Genomic DNA, 23,440 nt, shown 5'->3' on the forward strand with positions numbered 1-23,440 from the left:
ATCATTTATGCTTTCAAAAATGTTTCTTCAAAGTAGTAACAAATTATATGATTGGGCCTTTTCTTGAAGCTTGAATTAAAACTTGTGTTTTTAACTTTCAGTGACTTGTGGAGTAATTTGGATATCTAGATACTGAAATGCAATGTACAGATGAGTATTGATTTTTAATATTTGGAGCTCCAACTGTTCTCACATGAGCACTAGCTTGTTTACTAAGCAAATAATTTAAGAGCGTGCTCTATCACTCTCCCTGGGTGTGTGTGTGTGTGTGTGTGTGTGTGTGTGTGTGAGAGAGAGAGACAGAGAGAGAGAGAGAGAGATTGATTCTCACTTGCTTGAGGTGTCTTCAGGGCAGGTATGTAGCCTAAGGTTTTGTGCTGCCAAATCTAGCATAGTACCTGACTGATGGTTAGGAAAGGATTACTGTGTAGATTAATAAATGGCTTGGGATGCAGAGACATATAAAGCAGTATGCTGCCAAGAAGGCCTGGTAGTGCAGATGGAGAGCCAAAGGGATTTAATTACAGTGTATCTCACTGATGTAACAAAGCCCAGTAGGGAGGTTGCCCAGAGGAGGGAGGCATAACTGAGCAGGGGTGGATCTCAGGAAAAATGTTGTAAATGATGTGCTCAAGATTAGATGTGAGTGGGAGAATCTCAAGTACACATAGGGAGGGAATGACATTCACGGCATGCAAGTAACAGGCCACTCTGATGTGAAAGATCTTTGTCTTGGAACTGTGGATTTTTTTTCTCCCCCTAATACAAAATGTGAGGGGCATAGTGGCAAGAGACAAGGATGAAAAAGACATGTCAGATCACAAATGGCTTGGAATGCCAGGCATGGTAGTATGGAGGAGACCAATGGTGATAGATGCATAAAACTCATCTTCACACCATTTCTCCTGCGGTGTTCTCTCAAGCCTAGAGGCCCATTCCAGAAATCTGGGTATTTTCCTTATCTGTCCTTTTTCTGTTGTGTCCCACATCTGATCAGTTACCAACTATTATCATGTCTACTTCTAAATTTCACTCTAATCCATTCCTTTCTCTCTGTCCTCAGTGTTCTGATTCTTACACTCTGTTGGTCTAACAGTCTCCTGTGTTACCCAATGTTTGTGAAATCTCTGTGTTGATAGAGCTGAGAAACACAGAGATGTGCTGCCTCACCATCCACCCTTTCCTCCCCAGTCCATTCTCACATTCTAGCCAGAGAGAAATTTCTAAAGGCAAATCTTGACCATGCTAGTTTCTGCTCAAGATGATCTTGGCTTTGTCATCGCCCTTAGGTGAAGTTCAGTTCCTTGGCCCGAGCTTCAGCACCTCCTCGCTCAGTCTCCAGTACAGTTCTCTCCGTTCCCCACCAGCACATGCCCCTCCTGTCTTGCTGAGCTTTGTTCTTCACCTATGCGGGGCTACTCTCAGCTCCTGCCATGGAACCCCCCTTTCCTCCCTCTGCTTTACCCCATAGCCCTGTGCTTTGGATTGTTGCTTCTAGGAAGTATTTTCAAATCTGGATTTATAGCCCTTGCTGTGTGGACCTGCAGTGCCCAGTATTTGCCCAATTGTGACATTTATGAAGCAGCTTTTTAATCGCTTGCTTACTTGTCTCTTTCCTCTAATAGACTGTGAGTTCTGTGGTGACAGAAACCAAGTGTAACCTGTTTACCATTTGATTCCCAGCACCTGGCATAGTGCCTGAAATGTAGTAGGTATTTATTGATACTTAGATCCATAGATATGTGAAGTACTTATTCCTATGTCGAACACATAATACTCAATAAATGATGGTAGTTTTTATTGTTTACCGCCATATACAACAGCTGCAACTATTATTCTATCCATTTTTTTTACTAACTCTCTAAGAAGCAATGAGATCAAAAGCTGGTTTATAGTGATGTGAAGAGCAACTTCAAGGAGAGGAATTGGAGACCAAGCAAAGATGAATTTGTTAAAATGGTTGACTGAAAAAATACCTTCATTGAAAAGGTGGTAGTCAGAGAATCAGTAAAGTCAAAGGAAGGTATTTGTCAATGATGAAGGAATACTGGACATGTACATGGGTTGAAGAAGCGAGTCCAACCTGAAGATACAGGTGTGGAGTTGGATCAGTTCTCCAAGCAGGAGGATTGATCTTGCACCTGAGGAAAGAAGGCATCTTACATAATAAGGGGAAAATCGAAGGGATGGGGTTGCTGGAATATGTGCAGGGGTCTGGGAGGAAAATGAAGGCAATGCTGAGGGTAATACAAGCATGTTTAATTCTGTTGTGTGAAAGGTATCTTTTAAGCAAACCAATTACCCTCTTTTTCTCTTTCAGCTGTTCGGGGGTCTTGTCTGGATTTTGGTTGCCTCCTCCAATGTTCCTCTACCTCTACTACAAGGATGGGTCATGTTTGTGTCCGTGACAGCGTTTTTCTTTTCGCTCCTCTTTCTGGGCATGTTCCTCTCTGGCATGGTGGCTCAAATTGATGCTAACTGGAACTTCCTGGTAAGGACTTTTTATTTTAAGTCTATTGCAGGAAGATGGGAGAAACCTGTATCCTATTCTGTTCTGAAATGCCAGAGTCCCAGTTCTGTTGCCCCTAATGGGAGAGAAGCGGTCCAACCACAGAGACTGCTGTGGTGCTGCGGTGGTGTGTGGCTGCCTTGATGGACAACAGGGCCCCAGTTTGCGAAATCTCTGTGTTGATAGAGCTGAGAAATAATTGTTACTCCTACAACTTAGATAACTCTTACTCAAAAACTGTTTCATTTCATACGGCAAATGAATTGCATTACAATTATCAAACAATTGAACAAATGCCTTTGGGAACTAAACATTGTCGCATCTTGAAATTTTCCATTAATTTCTGCCCCAGATATTTAAATATGTATTTTTTTTTCAGAAAACAAATACTTAGAAAAGGGCATGTTTCATATTGATAATAAACGTCTGTCCCAAATTAAAAAGAATTGGTGAGTTTTTAAAAATGAATTTGTGGCCGGGCGTGGTAGCTCATGCCTGTAATCCCAGCACTTTGGGAGGCCGAGGCAGATGAATCATGAGGTCAGGAGTTCAAGACCAGCCTGGCCAACATGGTGACACCCCGTCTCTACTAAAAATACAAAAATTACCCCGGGCATGATGGGGTGTGCCTGTAGTCCCAGCTGGTTGGGAGGCAGAGGCAGAAGAATTACTTGAACCCGGGAGGCAGTGAGCCTAGATTGTGCCACTGTACTCCAGCCTGGGTGACAGAGCAAGACTCCATCTCAAAAAAAAAAAAAAAAAGAATTTGTGACCAAGTGCAGTGGCTCATGCCTATAGTCCCAGGACTTTGGGAAGCTGAGGCAGGAGGATCACTTGAGACCAGGAGCTCAAGGCCAGCCTGGGAAACATGGTGTAACCCTGTCTCTACAAAAACTACAAAAAATATCTGGACATGGTGTTGCACTCCTGTAGTCCCAGCTACTCAGGAAGTTGAGGCAGGAGGATCACTTGAGCCCAGGAAGTCGAGGCTGCAGTGAGCCATGATCACACCAGTGCACTCCAGCCAAGGAGACAGAGCAAGACCTTGTCTCTCAAAAAAAAAAAAAAAAAAATTTGCAATCAACACAATTTTTAAAATTATGACACCATTAAATTAGATCAACTTTTTGTTTAGTATATAGAGCTTGTCTTTCATGCTTGCAGCCATTTATTCTCTAAGACTGTTTTAGAATGACTCAGAGGATCACAGTGCTTCAGGGAAGTTCAGGAAGAACCCCCATTAGGTTATGATCATACTTTGGTGTTTAGAAGCTTACATCAGACCTTCAGTCAGGCTTTATATATATTCCTTTCAAGTATAACAGCATGTTATTCCACAGCTTTAGTGCAGATGTTAAATATCTGTTCTTGTTTTATTTATAGGGCATAAGAGGAACTGTAATCCTAAATGTTATTAGTGGTGAAGTGTAGGGAATGTGGCTGGCCTTTAAGCCAGCCCTGGGGCAAATGGCATAGCTTAGTATAAAGCTAAGAAGGAAGTGGAGTACCGTGGTTACAGTCCTGCATGGGCTTTGAGCATAGATCTGGTTTGCTTAGTAGCTGTGTAGCCTCGGGCACAATTATTAACCTCTCTCGATTTTAGTTTCTTCCTCTGTAAAATGAGAATAATATATTTGGTATTGAGTACAGTCATTCATGTCCTTATTAATTTATTTGTTTTCCCAAGTTTGCATTTCCCACCCATTTGTAGCATTATATCTGATGTTCAGAAAATTAAATGTTAAGCGTTTCTGTTGTTTTAATTGTGCTACTCTATGAAAGTGACAGCTGAAATTGGAAATCTTTGTTTCATAGGTCAGCTGCAAAGGTTACCTGTGGTCTTTTAGCTGGAGTAGTCTTTTAGCTCAGTAGCTGTTACTGAGGCAAAAGATGGTAATAGCAATGCACAGCGTTGATTGTATGGTAGGCATGCTTTCTAAGAGCCAAATCTTGTCTTCAAGGAATTTATGAAATGTTTTCCCTATTTCGAAAGGGCTTCTCTTTTTTTCTTCTTTTGTGTGTGGGTCTTTTTTTTATTATTATTATTCAGTCATTTTTTATTGCATGGCTTGCTTTTGATAGGTTTGGTAACATATTTTGTACACTCTCCCAGGAAAACTTTTTAGCCATGTATATAATGGAATTGTCACAAGTTGGTAACAATTTTTAATTGTTGCATTCTGGAACTGTCAGACATTAATGGCTCAAAAATAGTTGTTTTCTCCTGTGATAATAGTTTACCACTTTAGACCATACTTGAAGGAAGCAAGAATGCATTTTGATAAAGAACTTATTTTCTAGATGTATTTGTTGTAGGATATTGAGTTTACTATTTCTTCTGGGTTTTATTGACTAAGAAAATTACATTCATGATAGATAGCTTCAGCAGTTTTTCCTGAGCTTTCTAGCTTTTATATAAATAGTGAAATAAAAATATACTATCTAATAACAGATATAAAGTACTAAATACTTGCCTCATTCTATTCTGGGAAAATAAGGAGATTTTGGTTTTGAAACAGCTTTTCTGTATTTTTTTTCTGGAGAGGAAAAAATACCATTTTTGTGGAACTTTAAACAGAAGATTCTAAATTTATATAGTCCCCTTTGTAGGGGAAGGGTACTAAGGAAAGATACATTTTAGAAAAATAGAGCTATTTAAAAATCCTATGCAATTAAACATGTTTCCCTTTATTCCCCCAAAGTATAACTGGCACACATTTGATCATTTGCCTATTATGGACATCACTTAATATATTGGTTTTTTTAAGATTTTTTTTATTTCAATAGCTTTTAGGGTACATGTGGTTTTTTATTACATGAATGAATTGCATAGTGGTGAAATCTGAGATGTTAGTGTAACAGCCCCCCGAGTAGTATACATTGTACCCAACATGTAGTTTTTTTATCCCTCCTTCTCCTCTCCCCACCCACTCCTGAGTCTCCAATGTCCATTATACCACTCTGTATGCCTTTGCATGCCCATGGCTTGGTTCCCACTTACAACTGAGAACATACAATATTTGGTTTTCAAATAATAAGTGAGTTACTTCATTTAGAATAACGGCCTCCAGCTCCATCCACTGCTTAGTATCTTACATTTTGTCAGCTATATTTTCTGGCCCCATATTCATTTGCTTATTTGACCTTAATGACAATTCTTTATGGGTGATAAGTATTCTTGTTCTCATTTTTACAAATGAGAAAACTGAGGTTCAAAGTGGTTGTCATCCATTTTTCTTGCTGCTGTTAATGTAAACGAGGATCCCCCTATAGACGATGCAGCTTTTTTTTTTAAGATTAACTTTGTAGAGTTTTACTACATAAACTTGCAGATAGTATTTTCTCACTCCAACTTTTTTTATACTTTAGGTTTTAGGGTACATGTGCACAACGTGCAGGTTAGTTACATATGTATACATGTGCCAGGTTGGTGTGCTGCACCCATTAACTCATCATTTAACATCAGGTATATCTCCTAATGCTATCCCTCCCCACTCCCCCCACCCCACAACAGGCCCCGGTGTGTGATGTTCCCCTTCCTGTGTCCATGTGTTCTCATTGTTCAATTCCCATCTATGAGTGAGAACATGCAGTGTTTGTTTGGTTTTTTGTCCTTGTGATAGTTTGCTGAGAATGATGGTTTCCAGCTTCATCCATGTCCATGCAAAGGACATGAACTCATTTTTTATGGCTGCATAGTATTCCATGGTGTATATGTGCCACATTTTCTTAATCCAGCCTCATTGTTGGACATTTCGGTTGGTTCCAAGTCTTTGCTATTGTGAATAGTGCCGCAATAAACATACGTGTGCATGTGTCTTTATAGCAGCATGTTTTATAATCCTTTGGGTATATACCCAGTAATGGGATGGCTGGGTCAAATGGTATTCCTAGTTCTAGATCCCTGAGGAATCGCCACACTGACTTCCACAATGGTTGAACTAGTTTACATTCCCACCAACAGTGTAAAAGTGTTCCTATTTCTCCACATCCTCTCCAGCACCTGTTGTTTCCTGACTTTTTAATGATTGCCATTCTAACTGGTGTGAGATGGTATCTCATTGTGGTTTTGATTTGCATTTCTCTGATGGTCAGTGATGGTGAGCATTTTTTCATGTGTCTGTTGGCTGCATAAATGTCTTCTTTTGAGAAGTGTCTGTTCATATCCTTCACCCACTTTTTGATGGGGTTGTTTTTTTCTTGTGAATTTGTTTGAGTTCATTGTAGATTCTGGATGTTAGCCCTTTGTCAGATGAGTAGATTGCAAAAATTTTCTCCCATTCTGTAAAAAATTTTCTCCCATTCTGTAGGTTGCCTGTTCACTCTGATGGTAGTTTCTTTTGCTGTGCAGAAGCTTTTTAGTTTAATTAGATCCCATTTGTCAATTTTGGCTTGTGTTGCCATTGCTTTTGGTGTTTTAGACATGAAGTCCTTGCCCATGCCTATGTCCTGAATGGTATTGCCTAGGTTTTCTTCTAGGGTTTTTATGGTTTTAGGTCTAACATTTAAGTCTTCAATCCATCTTGAATTAATTTTTGTATAAGGTGTAAGGAAGGGATCCAGTTTCAGCTTTCTACTTATGGCTAGCCAGTTTTCCCAGAACCATTTATTCAATAGGGAATCCTTTCCCCCCCTTTTTTTTTTTAACTAGTAGATGGAAGTTTGACCCTGAAACGAAGAGCAAACATGGGCTTAAGACAAGAATGTGAGATATAGTCACTTGCGGGCGGGGGGTGGGGTGGAAGCTATGCCTGAGGCTGAGGTTGCCCAGGGAAAAGGCAAACACATAGTGGGCAGTGCTCTGGGGTGTGTGAGCATTGATAAGATGGGTGAAACAGCAAGAGCACATGAAGGCAATTAAGAAAGTGAAGGCAATTAAGAAAGAGGCTGGGTTCATCTGCTAATAAGTGGAGGCCAGGGGCCTAGGGCAGAGATTTACAAATGGTGGTCCTGGCCAGAAGAGCAGCAGCATCTGGAAACGTGTCAGAAATGGACATTATCAGGTTCCACCCTGACCTGCTAAGTCAGAAACTCTGGGAGTAGGACTCAGCTGTCTTGTGTTTAAACAAGCTCTCCAGGTGGTTCTGATGCAGGCTAACATTTGAGAACCACTGACTTAGCAGAAATGATCTGGGCTGTCAAATGCAATGAGTGAGGCTTGTGGAAGACCTTCTTAACACACATCCCACACCTGGCACAAATTGGAATAGTACACTCAGGATGGCCAAATACAAATATAGGTACAGTCCACCAGGGGTTGGGAATAGTTACTGAGTAGTTGGCCCTATACTAGGCCCTGGGAATACAATTGTGAAAAAAGACAGATCTAGCAGTTGCTGTCAAAGAGTTTGTTGTAGTAGACAATGTAAGTAAATTGTTACAAAATTAATGCATTAATTAATGTTATGTTAGTAGCCAAAAAGGAAAAGCCTAGCATGCCAAAACAACATATGTGTCATCTCAGCTTCACTGGGAAGTAGATTCTAAGATGGATTGAGAAGTACAAGAGTTTTGGTTTGGGCTTTTTGTGCATTTTGTTGTTGTTGTTATTGTTTAAGGGAAAGGGGAGATAACACTTGTAAAAGAAAATAAAAGAGGAAGTAAGATCAGGAAGAAAACCCAGAATGATACGCTCTACAAAGTCTTGACCAAATCCATACAAAACTTCAGAACACAGCCTGTCCTTTGAGAGTTTTGTGTTGGGCACAAGTGGCCAAGCACTAGTACCTCCACTGTGCTGTCATTAGTGGGGTTGGGGGATATCCAGGAAGAATGTGGCCTTGGCTCATGCATTGTAGCAGATCGCAAATCCACTGAAGCTGGAGGCTGTCAGCTACCTGCACCCCTCACAGCTAAACATCAAGTTCCTTCTTGATGGAAAATGTGTGCAGTGCACAATTAGATGCTCCACTCTCCTCTCATACTGCAGATCCATTTCTCCATATACATCTGGGAGTCACTCCTCTGGGGTTCCCATGTGCCTTTCTTCCTGAAGAAAGACTTAAAGGAGAGAGGTTAGAGGGATACATGACATCTCCGTTCACTGGAGTTGGTCTCAAGGCCAACTGGTACTCATCTTCTTCCACTGACCATTTTACATTCCTCTTCTCAGCTTTCCTGTCTGGTGGTCTCAGTGGTTTCCTGTTGGTGAATCCAAATCTCATTCCTGAGAGAGTCAGGGCCCCTGGCAACCACATCTGCTTCAGGCCAGTATTGCTACACTTGTTTGTTTTTAGTCACAATTGGCAGAGAGACTTCCAAGAAGACCTCAAGTAGATCACCTGAGGTCTACATATAATTCCTTTCGCCCTCTTATGGCACATACACGAGGGCAATACATGCTCCTTACTGCCATCCTGACTTCCAGCAGCTCTGCCTTCTCTTGAAGTTTAGTGGCAACTACCTTTGTCAAGATGGTAACTCCTCTTCCTGCCTTTTTGTCCCTGGACAAAAGAGTCCAAAGTGGCCAGAGAGTAGCCATAGCTTGTAGCTCAATGGGACCATTGCTGTATCCTCTGTCCTTGTCCCTTTGGGGACAAGGACCCCTGACCATGAAAAACCTAGAGCTGTGGGAACATAAATCATAAAGGATTTCATCAGGTTATTAGAAGCGATGACAAGTGGAGAAACTCTTGCTTTTACCCCTAAGTTTCCATTCTTCCAATGGGGACACAATAACATGTAGGAAGCTCTTCTTCAGTGTATCTACTGCATCCTAAAGGATGACCCCCATCCTCACAGACTAGTGCCTCCAAGCTGTGCCTTCAGCCAGCCATTCCTTTGTGCTATCAGGCCAGGCCAGCAGCTTCTAGGTGGTGCAGTACATGATGCAGCCCATGGGTAGGCACCCATTTCCACTCCTGCTTTGTTGAGAAGTGGTTTCCTTGATCAGAGACTGAGTGAATGCAGTCTGTAAATCCTTGGGTATAGCTGGTGGCTCAAGCTCAGAGAGTCATAAAAGCAAATTCATAAATCCTCGATGCCCTAGGTAATTAATTGTATTTTAGTGAGAATAACCATTATGGGTGTGTGTTTTTGTGAGAGTGAAATATTTTGCCCTCCAGGAAGGTAGAAGCTCAGTTTTCATTCATTTACTACAGGTAAGTGGTTGGTCCCCTTGAGGATAATCCCTTATCAGGAGCTCAGAGTTGGTCTCTGTTGCTGGCAGTTCAACATTCAGAGGAAGCAGTGGGTAGATCAGCTTTGGCAATAAGGAGGCCATACTCTTGGGCCTTTCCATGGCCACTTTCTCTGACCATGGGTACTCTGTTTATGTGCCCATAATGCCAGGTATGGGATGGTTGATGCCAAAGGATTGCTAACATCAACTCGAAGGGTCCTTTTGGCTACGTAGCATTCTAAAGTGATGCTTCTGGTAAGCATTACCAAGTGACAGAAAGATCTCCACATAGTATGCCTAATCCCGTATCCCTTCCTTGTCCCTGAAGCTTTGAAATGTTTTATCCCATGGCCCTGACAAGTACAGTAGTCTATTTGCTATTGATCATCAGTCTATGTATATTCTCACTGTGGGCCTCTTTTTTTTTTTTTTTTTGAGACAGAGTCTTGCTCTATTGCCCAGGCTGGAGTGCAGTGGCAGGATCTCTGCTCATTGCAACCTCTGCCTCCTGGATTCAAGCGATTCTTCTGCCTTAGCCTTCCGAGTAACTGGGATTACAGGCATGCACCACCATGCCCAGCTAATTTTTGTATTTTTAGTAGAGATGGGCTTTTGCCATGTTGGCTAGGCTGGTCTCAAACTCCTGACCTCAAGTGATCCACCACATCGGCCTCCCAAAGTGCTGGGATTACAGACACGAGCCACTGCACCCAGCTATGGGCCACTTTTCTTTCTGAGCAAAGTGTGTAACATGCATCATCACTCAGCTCTACCCATTGGGAAAATAGTCCCTAACCACTGTCTTTCAAAGCCAACTCTGAATGTGGCTATAATGCACATACAATACAGCTGCTGTCCCTTTCAACCTTGCAACCACATAGGAGCCAACTCTTCCAAAAACAAAGCTCAGGGTTTTTTTCTCCTTCACGTGGGCATAAGGAAACCACTCTTCCCTGTGGCCATAGGTACGAACTGAGGAAGGACAGCAGTTCCACTCTGGTGGGTAACATGAGAGCCTAGGCTACCTGCTCTTGCAGTTACCTCTTGTTAACTGGTCTTGCTCAGGTCAATATCATATGTGCCCTTCCCATCACAAGGAGACAGCTGCTGACCCACCTGATTTTTTGAGTTAGTGGCTTCCATGGAACCCAACCCAAAATAAGCAGTTCTGGATGCCTGGCCACTGGTGTCAAGTGTTTCTTCTCTACCAGGTCTAGTACCAGGAGCTACTTTTCAAACACTTGTCACTCTCCAGTGCAGGTTACTAGAGGCTCTAAAACTCCAGGAACCTCCAGTGATTTTCACATTGGCATTGCCATAAATTCCACACTATGTACTTTCTCCTAACACCAAGAGTATATATGACCCTGGCTGGATAGGATGACCCAAGCATATGGAGTGAGAAGCGCGAGAAGTGTGTTGGGAATTAACACCTATAAAAGATGAAAGGGGAAGAAATAGGATTGGACAGGAAAGCCTTGAAACCACAATTTAATTCAGATACTTCTGAAAAGGAGGGAGGAAGAAGCAAAATTGGCAGGATTGGGGGGGCGGGAAGGGGCAAGCAGTAATTGCTTGTGGGCAGAATCCTTTCTGGCAGAGACAATACCATGTGTAAAGAGTAGCATCCTTGAGCTATAAAATGCTTCCTAGGGACCAAAATGAGGTGAATGTGGGTGACATTGAAAAAGGTATGTAATGGTAGAGAAATTAAGGGATCAGATCACACGAAGAGTTGCAGGTCCTGTCACCAAATCTCTTTATTTAAAGATAAACTATTTCTGATGATTCACCTCAGTAAGTTAAATGAGTGCCTAATGATCTCAGACAAATTTTCTCTTAATTTTTCTTACTAAGATCTAGCATCATTTCATTTAGCCATTAAAAATGGTGACATTTGAATTTGGGGTTTGACCTTCATCAGCTAATATTTGTTGAATAACCACATGTATTTGAGCATCTCTCCTACAAACGTGTGGCCAGTATGTAACACTTTTCTTAAATCTTTTGAAGGCATTTGTGAATCAGTTTACAAATGAGAGTTATTTAATAGAAAGCACACCTTTGTAGTTCTTACCCATGGTTAGTTAAATTTGTCCTAGCAGAGTATTTTAGATGTGAGAACAGTTTTTTTTTTTATTTTTTGTTTGTTTTGAGGCAGAGTCTTGCTCTGTTGTCCAGGCTGGAGTGCACTGATGCAGTCTTGGCTCACTGCAAGCTCCACCTCCCAGGTTCACACCATTCTCCTGCCTCAGCCTCCCAAGTAGCTGGGACCACAGGCGCCCGCCACCACACCCAGCTAATCTTTTTGTATTTTTAGTAGAGACAGGGTTTCACTGTGTTAGCCAGGATGGTCTCTCTCTCCTGACCTCATGATCCGCCCGCCTTGACCTCCCAAAGTGCTGGGATTACAGGCGTGAGCCACTGTGCCCAGCCAGATATGAGAACAATTTCTATAAACAGTATGATTTGCTGTATGGGCATTTACAAAAGCAGTGCAATGCTCTCCTTTGTAATATTGCTATAACGGTAATAGAAATCAATAATAGGTTTGATAGGAAAGAACGTAGACTTCAAAGGGAACCCTTGCACACTGTTGGTAGGAATGTAAATTAGTGCAGTCGTTATAGAGAACAGTGTGGAAGTTCCTCAAAAAGTTAAAAATAGAACTACCATATGATCTAGCAATCCCACGCCTGGGTATATATCCAAAGGAAATGACATCAGTGAGATATCTGCATTCTCATTTTCAATACACCATTATTCAAAACGCCAAGACATGGAATCAACCTAAAGGCCAGTAGATGAATGGATAAAGAAAATGCAGTATATATTCACAATACTAATTGCCTTTAAAAAGGCAGAAATCCTGTCATTTGCAATATAGATGAACATTGTGTTATGTGAAATAAGCCAGGCACGGAAAGACCAATACCGCATGATCTCACTTATATGTGAAATCTTGAACAGTTGAATTCACAGAAGTAGAGAATAGAATGGTGATTACCAGGGTATGGGGTGATGGGGGACTGGGGAAATGTTGGTCAAAGGATACAGAATTTCAGTTAGGAGAAATGAGTTCAAGAGATCTATTGTACAGCATGGCAACTATAGTTAATAACAGTGTATTATATTCTTGAAAAATGCTAAAAAATATTTTAGATGTTCTCACCACAAAAAAAAGATAATTTTGGGAGGTTTTATATATTTTTTTATATATTTATGTATATATAAATTAGCTCCACTTAGCCATCCCACAATGTATAAATATTCCACAATGTATAAATATTTAAAAACATGTACACGATAAATATGTATTTTTCTCAATTAAAATAATTTTTTTTGAAAACTAAAGAAACTGGACTTTGGGACTAGACACACTACATGTTTTTCTTCCTCCAAAAGTTAATATTTGTCTGGCTTCAAACAGTCAACAGTCATTTAACTGAAAAGAAAGAAGAAATTCTTTGTAAAATGGAGATAATAAATGATGGTTATAAGGATGAGTAATAATGCACATAAGGTACCTGATATGTGGGAGCTATTAAAAATAAACAGTGATGTGTTGATGGTATATTAATTCAGGTAAGACAATATGAACTGTAATAGTGTTATGCTTCACATGAATGTCAGCAACATACAAAGAAGCCTAATAAACGAGTTCTTATACTTTTGGTGGAAGTATATATGTTAGTAGTTTTTAATGAAATATATGAATATATGTTATTGAATTCTATTAGTCTTCTGTATCTTTCAGTGGAAAATCTCTAATGATAAAAATAACTGCTCAAAAATAAAATTACATAATGTGTATGAATACATATCATAACCATAATAAAAAGATGTTATTTAAATGCTATTTTACTTGAATTTTAAAGACAGCATATGTTATGGCTTTTTTATATTATCCTAATTAACATTGATCTCTATGGCATCTTAATCCAAATTAAAATTACATATTATTAGGAGCAGGTTGTTCAGTTTCCATGTAGCTGAGCAGTTTTGAGTGAGTTTCTTAATCCTGAGTTCTAGTTTGATTGCACTGTGGGCTGAGAGACAGTTTGTTATAATTTCTGATCTTTTACATTTGCTGAGGAGAGCTTTACTTCCAACTATGTGGTCAATTTTGGAATAGGTGTGGTGCTGAAAAAATGTATATTCTGTTGATTTGGGGTGGTTGGGTACATAACAAAATGAAGGTAGAAATAAAGATGTTCTTTGAAACCAATGAGAACAAAGACACAGCATACCAGAATCTCTGGGACACATTCAAAGCAGTGTGTAGAGGGAAATTTATAACACTAAATGCCCACAAGAGAAAGCAGGAAAGATCCAAAATTGACACCCTAACATCACAATTAAAAGAACTAGAAAAGCAAGAGCAAACAAACACATTCAAAAGCTAGCAGAAGGCAAGAAATAACTAAAATCAGAGCAGAACTGAAGGAAATAGAGACACAAAAAACCCTCTAAAAAATTAATGAATCCAGGAGCTGGTTTTTTGAAAGGATCAACAAAATTGATAGACTGCTAGCAAGACTAATAAAGAAGAAAAGAGAGAAGAATCAAATAGACGCAATAAAAAATGACGAAGGGGATAGCAGCACTGATCCACAGAAATACAAACTACCATCAGAGAATACTACAAACACCTCTATGCAAATAAACTAGAAAATCTAGAAGAAATGGATAAATTCCTCGACACATACACCCTCCCAAGACTAAACCAGGAATAAGTTGAATCTCTGAATAGACCAATAACAGGCTCTGAAATTGTGGCAATAATCAATAGCTTACCAACCAAAAAGAGTCCAGGACCAGATGGATTCACAGCCGAATTCTACCAGAGGTACAAGGAGGAACTGGTACCATTCCTTCTGAAACTATTCCTATCAATAGAAAAAGAGAGAATCCTCCCTAACTCATTTTATGAGGCTAGCATCATCCTGATACCAAAGCCGGGAAGAGACACAACCAAAAAAGAGAATTTTAGACCAATATCCTTGATGAACATTGATGCAAAAATCCTCAATAAAATACTGGCAAACCAAGGGGAGGAGCCAAGATGGCCGAATAGGAACAGCTCCAGTCTACAGCTCCCAGCGTGAGTGACGCAGAAGACGGATGATTTCTGCATTTCCATCTGAGGTACCGGGTTCATCTCACTAGGGAGTGCCAGACAGTGGGCACAGGCCAGTGGGTGCGCGCACCGTGCGCGAGCCGAAGCAGGGCGAGGCATTGCCTCACTTGGGAAGCGCAAGGGGTCAGAGAGTTCCCTTTCCGAGTCAAAGAAAGGGGTGACGGACGCACCGGGAAAATCGGGTCACTCCCACCCGAATATTGCACTTTTCAGACCGGCTTAAAAAACGGCGCACCACGAGATTGTATCCCACACCTGGCTGGGAGGGTCCTATGCCCACGGAATCTCGCTGATTACTAGCACAGCAGTCTGAGATCAAACTGCAAGGCGGCAACAAGGCTGGGGGAGGGGCGCCCGCCATTGCCCAGGCTTGCTTAGGTAAACAAAGCAGCCCGGAAGCTCGAACTGGGTGGAGCCCACCACAGCTCAAGAAGGCCTGCCTGCCTCTGTAGGCTCCACCTCTGGGGGCAGGGCACAGACAAACAAAAAGACAGCAGTAACCTCTGCAGACTTAAATGTCCCTGTCTGACAGCTTTGAAGAGAGCAGTGGTTCTCCCAGCATGCAGCTGAACATCTGAGACCTGGCAGACTGCCTCCTCAAGTGGGTCCCTGACCCCTGACCCCGGAACAGCCTAACTGGGAGGCACCCCCCAGCAGGGGCACACTCACAATTCACACGGCAGGGTATTCCAACAGACCTGCAGCTGAGGGTCCTGTCTGTTAGAAGGAAAACTAACAAACAGAAAGGACATCCACACCGAAAACCCATCTGTACATCACCATCATCAAAGACCAAAAGTAGATAAAACCACAAAGATGGGGAAAAAACAGAACATAAAAACTGGAAACTCTAAAACACAGAGCACCTCTCCTCCTCCAAAGGAACGCAGTTCCTCACCAGCAACGGAACAAAGCTGGATGGAGAATGACTTTGACGAGCTGAGAGAAGAAGGCTTCAGACGATCAAATTACTCTGAGCTACAGGAGGACATTCAAACCAAAGGCAAAGAAGTTGAAAACTTTGAAAAAAATTTAGAAGAATGTATAACTAGAATAACCAATACAGAGAAGTGCTTAAAGGAGCTGATGGAGCTGAAAACCAAGGCTCGAGAACTATGTGAAGAATGCAGAAGCCTCAGGAGCGAATGCGATCAACTGGAAGAAAGGGTATCAGCAATAGAAGATGAAATGAAGCGAGAAGGGAAGTTTAGAGAAAAAAGAATAAAAAGAAATGAGCAAAGCCTCCAAGAAATATGGGACTATGTGAAAAGACCAAATCTACGTCTGATTGGGGTACCTGAAAGTGATGGGGAGAATGGAACCAAGTTGGAAAACACTACAGGATATTATCCAGGAGAACTTCCCCAATCTAGCAAGGCAGGCCAACATTCAGATTCAGGAAATACAGAGAATGCCACAAAGATACTCCTCGAGAAGAGCAACTCCAAGACACATAATTGCCAGATTCACCAAAGTTGAAATGAAGGAAAAAATGTTAAGGGCAGCCAGAGAGAAAGGTCGGGTTACCCTCAAAGGGAAGCCCATCAGACTAACAGCGGGTCTCTTGGCAGAAACCCTACAAGCCAGAAGAGAGTGGGGGCCAATATTCAACATTCTTAAAGAATTTTCAACCCAGAATTTCATATCCAGCCAAACTAAGCTTCCTAAGTGAAGGAGAAATAAAATACTTTACAGACAAGCAAATGCTGAGAGGTTTTGTCACCACCAGGCCTGCCCTAAAAGAGCTCCTGAAGGAAGCACTAAACATGGAAAGGAACAACCGGTACCAGCCGCTGCAAAATCATGCCAAAATGTAAAGACCATCAAGACTAGGAAGAAACTGCATCAACTAACGAGCAAAATCACCAGCTAACATCATAATGACAGGATCAAATTCACACATAACAATATTAACTTTAAATGTAAATGGACTAAATTCTCCAATTAAAAGACACAGACTGGCAAATTGGATAAAGAGTCAAGACCCATCAGTGTGCTGTATTCAGGAAACCCATCTCACATGCAGAGACACACATAGGCTCAAAATAAAAGGATGGAGGAAGATCTACCAAGCAAATGGAAAACAAAAAAAGGCAGGGGTTGCAATCCTAGTCTCTGATAAAACAGACTTTAAACCAACAAAGATCAAAAGAGACAAAGAAGGCCATTACATAATGGTAAAGGGATCAATTCAACAAGAAGAGCTAACTATCCTAAATATATATGCACCCAATACAGGAGCACCCAGATTCATAAAGCAAGTCCTGAGTGACCTACAAAGAGACTTAGACTCCCACACATTAATAATGGGAGACTTTAACACCCCACTGTCAACATTAGAGAGATCAATGAGATAGAAAGTCAACAAGGATACCCAGGAATTGAACTCAGCTCTGCACCAAGTGGACCTAATAGACACCTACAGAACTCTCCACCCCAAATCAACAGAATATACATTTTTTTCAGCACCACACCACACCTATTCCAAAATTGACCACATAGTTGGAAGTAAAGCTCTCCTCAGCAAATGTAAAAGAACAGAAATTATAACAAACTCTCTCAGACCACAGTGCAATCAAACTAGAACTCAGGATTAAGAATCTCACTCAAAACCGCTCAACTACATGGAAACTGAACAACCTGCTCCTGAATGACTACTGGGTACATAACGAAATGAAGGCAGAAATAAAGATGTTCTTTGAAACCAACGAGAACAAAGACACAACATAGCAGAATCTCTGGGACCCATTCAAAGCAGTGTGTAGAGGGAAATTTATAACACTAAATGCCCACAAGAGAAAGCAGGAAAGATCCAAAATTGACACCCTAACATCACAATTAAAAGAACTAGAAAAGCAAGAGCAAACACATTCAAAAGCTAGCAGAAGGCAAGAAATAACTAAAATCAGAGCAGAACTGAAGGAAATAGAGACACAAAAAACCCTTCAAAAAATCAGTGAATCCAGGAGCTGGATTTTTGAAAGGATCAACAAAATTGATAGACCGCTAGCAAGACTAATAAAGAAAAAAAGAAGAATCAAATAGACACAATAAAAAATGACAAAGGGGATATCAGCACCGATCCACAGAAATACAAACTGCCATCAGAGAATACTACAAACACCTCTACACAAATAAACTAGAAAATCTAGAAGAAATGGATACATTCCTCGACACATACACTCTCCCAAGACTAAACCAGGAAGAAGTTGAATCTCTGAATAGACCAATAACAGGAGCTGAAATTGTGGCAATAATCAATAGTTTACCAACCAAAAAGAGTCCAGGACCAGATGGATTCACAGCTGAATTCTACCAGAGGTACAAGGAGGAACTGGTACCATTCCTTCTGCAACTATTCCAATCAATAGAAAAAGAGGGAATCCTCCCTAACTCATTTTATGAGGCCAGCATCATTCTGATACCAAAGCCGGGCAGAGAGACAACCAAAAAAGAGAATTTTAGACCAATATCCTTGATGAACATTGATGCAAAAATCGTCAATAAAATACTGGCAAAACGAATCCAGCAGCACATCAAAAAGCTTATCCACCATGATCAAGTGGGCTTCATCCCTGGGATGCAAGGCTGGTTAAATACATGCAAATCAATAAATGTAATCCAGCATATAAACAGAGCCAAAGACAAAAACCACATGATTATCTCAATAGATGCAGAAAAAGCCTTTGACAAAATTCAACAACCCTTCATGCTAAAAACTCTCAAGAAATTAGGTACTGATGGGACGTATTTCAAAATAGTAAGAGCTATCTATGACAAACCCACAGCCAATATCATACTGAATGGGCAAAAACTGGAAGCATTCCCTTTGAAAACTGGCACAAGACAGGGATGCCCTCTCTCACCATTCCTATTCAACATAGTGTTGGAAGTTCTGGCCAGGGCCATCAGGCAGAAGGAAATAAAAGGTATTCAGTTAGGAAAAGAGGAAGTCATATTGTCCCTGTTTGCAGATGACATGATTGTATATCTAGAAAACCCCATTGTCTCAGCCCAGAATCTCCTTAAGCTGATAAGCAACTTCAGCAAAGTCTCAGGATACAAAACCAATGTACAAAAATCACAAGCATTCTTATATACCAATAACATACAAACAGGGAGCCAAATCATGAGTGACCTCCCATTCACAATTGCTTCAAAGAGAATAAAATACCTAGGAATCCAACTTACAAGGGACATGAAGGACCTCTTCAAGAACTACAAACCACTGCTCACTGAAATGAAACAAAGAAATGGAAGAACATTCCATGCTCATGGGTAGGAAGAACCAATATCATGAAAATGGCCATACTGCCCAAGGTAATTTATAGATTCAATGCCATCCCCATCAAGCTACCAATGACTTTCTTCACAGAATTGGAAAAAACTACTTTAAAGTTCATAGGAACCGAAAAAGAGCCCGCATCGCCAAGTCAATCCTAAGCCAAAAGAACAAAGCTGGAGGCATCACACTACCTGACTTCAAACTATACTACAAGGCTACAGTAACCAAAACAGCATGGTACTGGGACCAAAACAGAGATATAGATCAATGGAACAGAACAGAGCCCTCAGAAATAACGCCACATATCTACAACTATCTGATCTTTGACAAACCTGAGAAAAACAAGCAATGGGGAAAGGAATCCCTATTTAATAAATGGTGCTGGGAAAACTGGCTAGCCATATGTAGAAAGCTGAAACTGGATCCCTTCCTTACACCTTATACAAAAATTAATTCAAGATGGATTAAAGACTTAAACCTTAGACCTAAAACCATAAAAACCCTAGAAGAAAACCTAGGCATTACCATTCAGGACATAGGCATGGGCAAGGACTTCATGTCTAAAACACCAAAAGCAATGGCAACACAAGCCAAAATTGACAAATGGGAGCTAATTAAACTAAAGAGCTTCTGCACAGCAAAAGAAACTATCATCAGAGTGAACAGGCAACCTACAAAATGGGAGAAAATTTTCACAACCTACTCATCTGACAAAGGTCTAATATCCAGAATCTACAATGAACTCAAACAAATTTACAAGAAAAAAAAACAACCCCATCAAAAAGTGGGTGAAGGATATGAACAGACACTTCTCAAAAGAAGACATTTATGCAGCCAAAAAACACATGAAAAAATGCTCACCATCACTGACCATCAGAGAAATGCAAATCAAAACCACAATGAGATATCATCTCATACCAGTTAGAATGGCAATCATTAAAAAGTCAGGAAACAACAGGTGCTGGAGAGGATGTGGAGAAATAGGAACACCTTTACACTGTTGGTGGGACTGTAAACTAGTTCAACCATTGTGGAAGTCAGTGTGGCGATTCCTCAGGGATCTAGAACTAGAAATACCATTTGACCCAGCCATCCCATTACTGGGTCCCAAAGGACTACAGATCATGCTGCTATAAAGACACATGCACATGTATGTTTATTGCGGCATTATTCACAGTAGCAAAGACTTGGAACCAACCCAAATGTCCAACAATGATAGACTGGATTAAGAAAATGTGGCACATATACACCATGGAATACTATGCAGCCATAAAAAATGATGAGTTCATGGCCTTTGTAGGGACATGGATGAAATTGGAAATCATCATTCTCAGTAAACTATCGCAAGAACAAAAAACCAAACACCACATATTCTCACTCATAGGTGGGAATTGAACAATGAGAACACATGGACACAGGAAGGGGAACATCACACTCTGGGGACTGTTGTGGGGAGGGATAGCATTAGGAGATATACCTAATGCTAAATGATGAGTTAATGAGTGCAGCACACTAGCATGGCACATGTATACATATGTAACTAACCTGCACATTGTGCACATGTACCCTAAAACTTAAAGTATAATAATAAAAAAATAAAATTACATATTATAAAATTCAGTATATGGAAAGGTTTACCAATGTGCCAATTAAGATGGGTCAGTTGATTTTCGCTTGGGTTCTGATAGTCTAACATTTCTAAAGCAGCTAAGCTTAACAGTGAATATAGTTAAGATTGTTTAATTAAATGTTTTGATCTTGCTAAACCTAAACTTCATTATTTAAAATAAGGAACAGAAAAATATTTTTTTTTAATTGCAGATGTCTTTTCTCTCCTCTTTTAGGATTTTGCCTACCATTTTACAGTATTTGTCTTCTATTTTGGAGCCTTTTTATTGGAAGCAGCAGCCACATCCCTGCATGATTTGCATTGCAATACAACCATAACCGGGCAGCCACTCCTGAGTGATAACCAGTATAACATAAACGTAGCAGCCTCAGTAAGTATTCATATTCAATGAGTACCATTCACCAGCACTTCCGCTCCACTGTCAAGGCCTCCAAGAAACTCCTCAGGCAACAATAGTTTTCTTCAATGCTAGCCATTGGCATTAAATATGTAATAGCTATTTATCTGTACAATAACCTTGTAAGCAAAGTGCCATGATCACCCCCAGTGTTGTGGATGATTAAACTGTAGCACGAAGAGGTTGATGTTCATGTAAGATCATAGCAAGCCAGTAGGACTGCTTGGCTTTGCACAGCAGTGTCTACTTTGCAAAAAGAGTTGTGTTTTTTGCTTCTGATAACTTTCAGAGATGGTAAAGGAGATTTCCAGTTTTGTTCTTTAGTATTCAATAGCTGCTTGCAATTTATTTCTATTGAATGAATAGTTACTGTGGGCCTACCATTTATCAAGTAATTTTGCTGGGTGTTGAGGATGGGGTGAATAAGTTGCAGTTCCTGCCATTAAGGAAAGTGCAGGTGAGAAAGGGAGGCAAATATGCCAGCCATTGCAGTAGATGATAGGCAGATGAAATATATTCCTTGGGGTATTTATTAAATTTTTTAAATCATCTTTAATTCGTATACTGGAGTGAATTTGTCATTTTGTGTAGATAATTTGAGGAAATAATATATTATTTTTGTTGTTAGAGATCATTGTTAAGATGTCAGAAGTCCAAATTAGTTTCTGAAATATTGTGATATTTAATATAAGTATATGGCAAGTTAGTGACCCTAATGTTTTATTATGTTCCCCAGGTAGCCTATAAATAACCCAGTACTCATATAGTCATTGAAATCTGTCTGGAGCAGCACTGTCTAGTAGAACTTTCTATAATGACAGGAATATTTCATGTAAGTGCTGTCCAAAATGGTGGCCACTGGCTTCATGTGGCTATTGAGCAGTTGAAAATTAACTAGGCCAAGGAATCATAGCTCATGCCTGTAATCCCAGCACATTGGTAGGCCGAGGTGGGAGGACTGCTTGAGGCCAAGAGTTTGAGACCAGCCTGGTCAACATAGCAAAACCTTGTCTCTGAAAAAGGAAAAAAAACAGAATAAAGAATTGGCCAGGCCTGGTGGCTTGTGCCTGTAGTGCTACCTACTCAGGAGGCGGAGGTTGCAGTGAGCAGAGCAGTCTGAGCGACAGACCAAGACTCTGGTCGGGGGAGAGAAAGATAACTAGTATGACTAAGGAACTTGAATTTTTAGTGTTATTTAATTTTAATAATCACATGTGCCTAGTGGCTATCATGTTAGATAATACATGTCTAGAGTGAGTTTTGAGGGGTACAAGACAAATGATTTCAAGACCTATTGTAAGTTTCCCAAGTCTCTGGTAGGATTTGTCAAAATTTATTGAGTGCCTGCAATGAATTAGGCTGAAGGTGGGATTACAACAAAAAGGAGTCATGGTTTTAGCTTTGAAAGGTTTATAGTGTAGATTCATGACTTTAACACTTGCTTATAAAAGAAATAAAGGTTTTATTTAATCAATTCTTACCTAAAACCCCAATAAATCTAGAAGATAAAAGTGTAAGTGCTCTAGTTGAAGTGGAGGAAGAGGGCCTTGAATGATGCTCATTCTCTTTTCATAAAGCTGCCTCTACCCACCCATATCATCCCTGAGGATGATAGAATCCTTGTGATCCACATTAGAAAACCCTTGGTTTTAACAGCTTTACAAAGCAAAGTTCAGGGACTTTCCTATGCTATTAGTCATCAATTCCCATTGTATTTGCCTTTATGTGTTTCTTACTTCCAGTCCCTTCATTTTAACGGTGCAGGCTAGATTCTTGTATCTTGGATCATTGAAGTAGCCCCAAATCTATTGACAGTCACCCTAGAACCTACTTTCACAAGAATAGTAGCTGCTGAAATACGTGATGGTTGTCTGAGGTCTTTAATTTGTCACCTTTGTCCTAAGGGCCTAGTTTTCCGTGTTCTCCATAATGTAGTTCTGTTCTGGCTGCTTCTCTTTTGTGACTTTGTCCCTGTTGTCCTTCCCTTTCTAAGTGAAGCTGTCTCAGTAAACCTCTACATGCTTCAAGTTCAACATTACATCCCATTTCATCCATATGCTCACTCCAGTCTAAGTAAATCTCTAGTTTGAGTTTTATTGTAACTAAAATGTATTAGCCATCCATTTGGGAAATTAGAGAGGAAAATTCCTTTTCCCTAATAATAGGTATCAAATAATAGGTATCAAAAAATAGGTATCAAAAGCTATTGCTGTCATTCAGAAAACAATGTCTAGATTAGAAATGTATCAGAGAAAAAATCAGCAGAAGAAGGGTGGAAAGAAAAGCAGAATAGTAAACTGTGAAAATGGTCTATAGGTGAATCTGGTATTCCTTCCCAGAACTGGTTTCCTGGTTAAGA

The 23,440-nt window shown here is 40.4% G+C and overlaps 1 protein-coding gene and 1 long non-coding RNA gene across 6 annotated transcripts in view; one reads left to right on the forward strand and one right to left on the reverse strand.

Annotated features, from left to right (window-relative positions):
- Positions 1 to 23,440, forward strand: part of MAL2 (mal, T cell differentiation protein 2) — a 37,311-nt gene that overhangs the window by 10,904 nt on the left and 2,967 nt on the right. Inside the window, exons 2-3 of one of the 2 annotated variants that reach the window (NM_052886.3) lie at positions 2,321 to 2,491; positions 20,899 to 21,054. In NM_052886.3, coding sequence (NP_443118.1) covers positions 2,321 to 2,491; positions 20,899 to 21,054 — 327 coding nt within the window. The remainder of the gene's footprint in view (positions 1 to 2,320; positions 2,492 to 20,898; positions 21,055 to 23,440) is intronic. The other variant, XM_011516807.3, reaches the window with a different exon arrangement.
- The window catches only part of MAL2-AS1 (MAL2 antisense RNA 1), a 32,235-nt gene that overhangs the window by 4,644 nt on the left and 4,151 nt on the right, over positions 1 to 23,440 (reverse strand). The window contains exons 4-5 of one of the 4 annotated variants that reach the window (NR_149114.1): positions 4,018 to 4,121; positions 1,977 to 2,141 (exon numbers count right to left, since the gene is read on the reverse strand). The exons of 2 other annotated variants lie outside the window; for them this stretch is intronic. This is a non-coding gene — a long non-coding RNA (MAL2 antisense RNA 1). The remainder of the gene's footprint in view (positions 1 to 1,976; positions 2,142 to 4,017; positions 4,122 to 23,440) is intronic. One more of the 4 variants, NR_149113.1, reaches the window with a different exon arrangement.

The sequence above is a fragment of the Homo sapiens genome, chromosome 8 (assembly GCF_000001405.40).
Source record: "Homo sapiens chromosome 8, GRCh38.p14 Primary Assembly".
Lineage (NCBI taxonomy): Eukaryota > Metazoa > Chordata > Mammalia > Primates > Hominidae > Homo > Homo sapiens.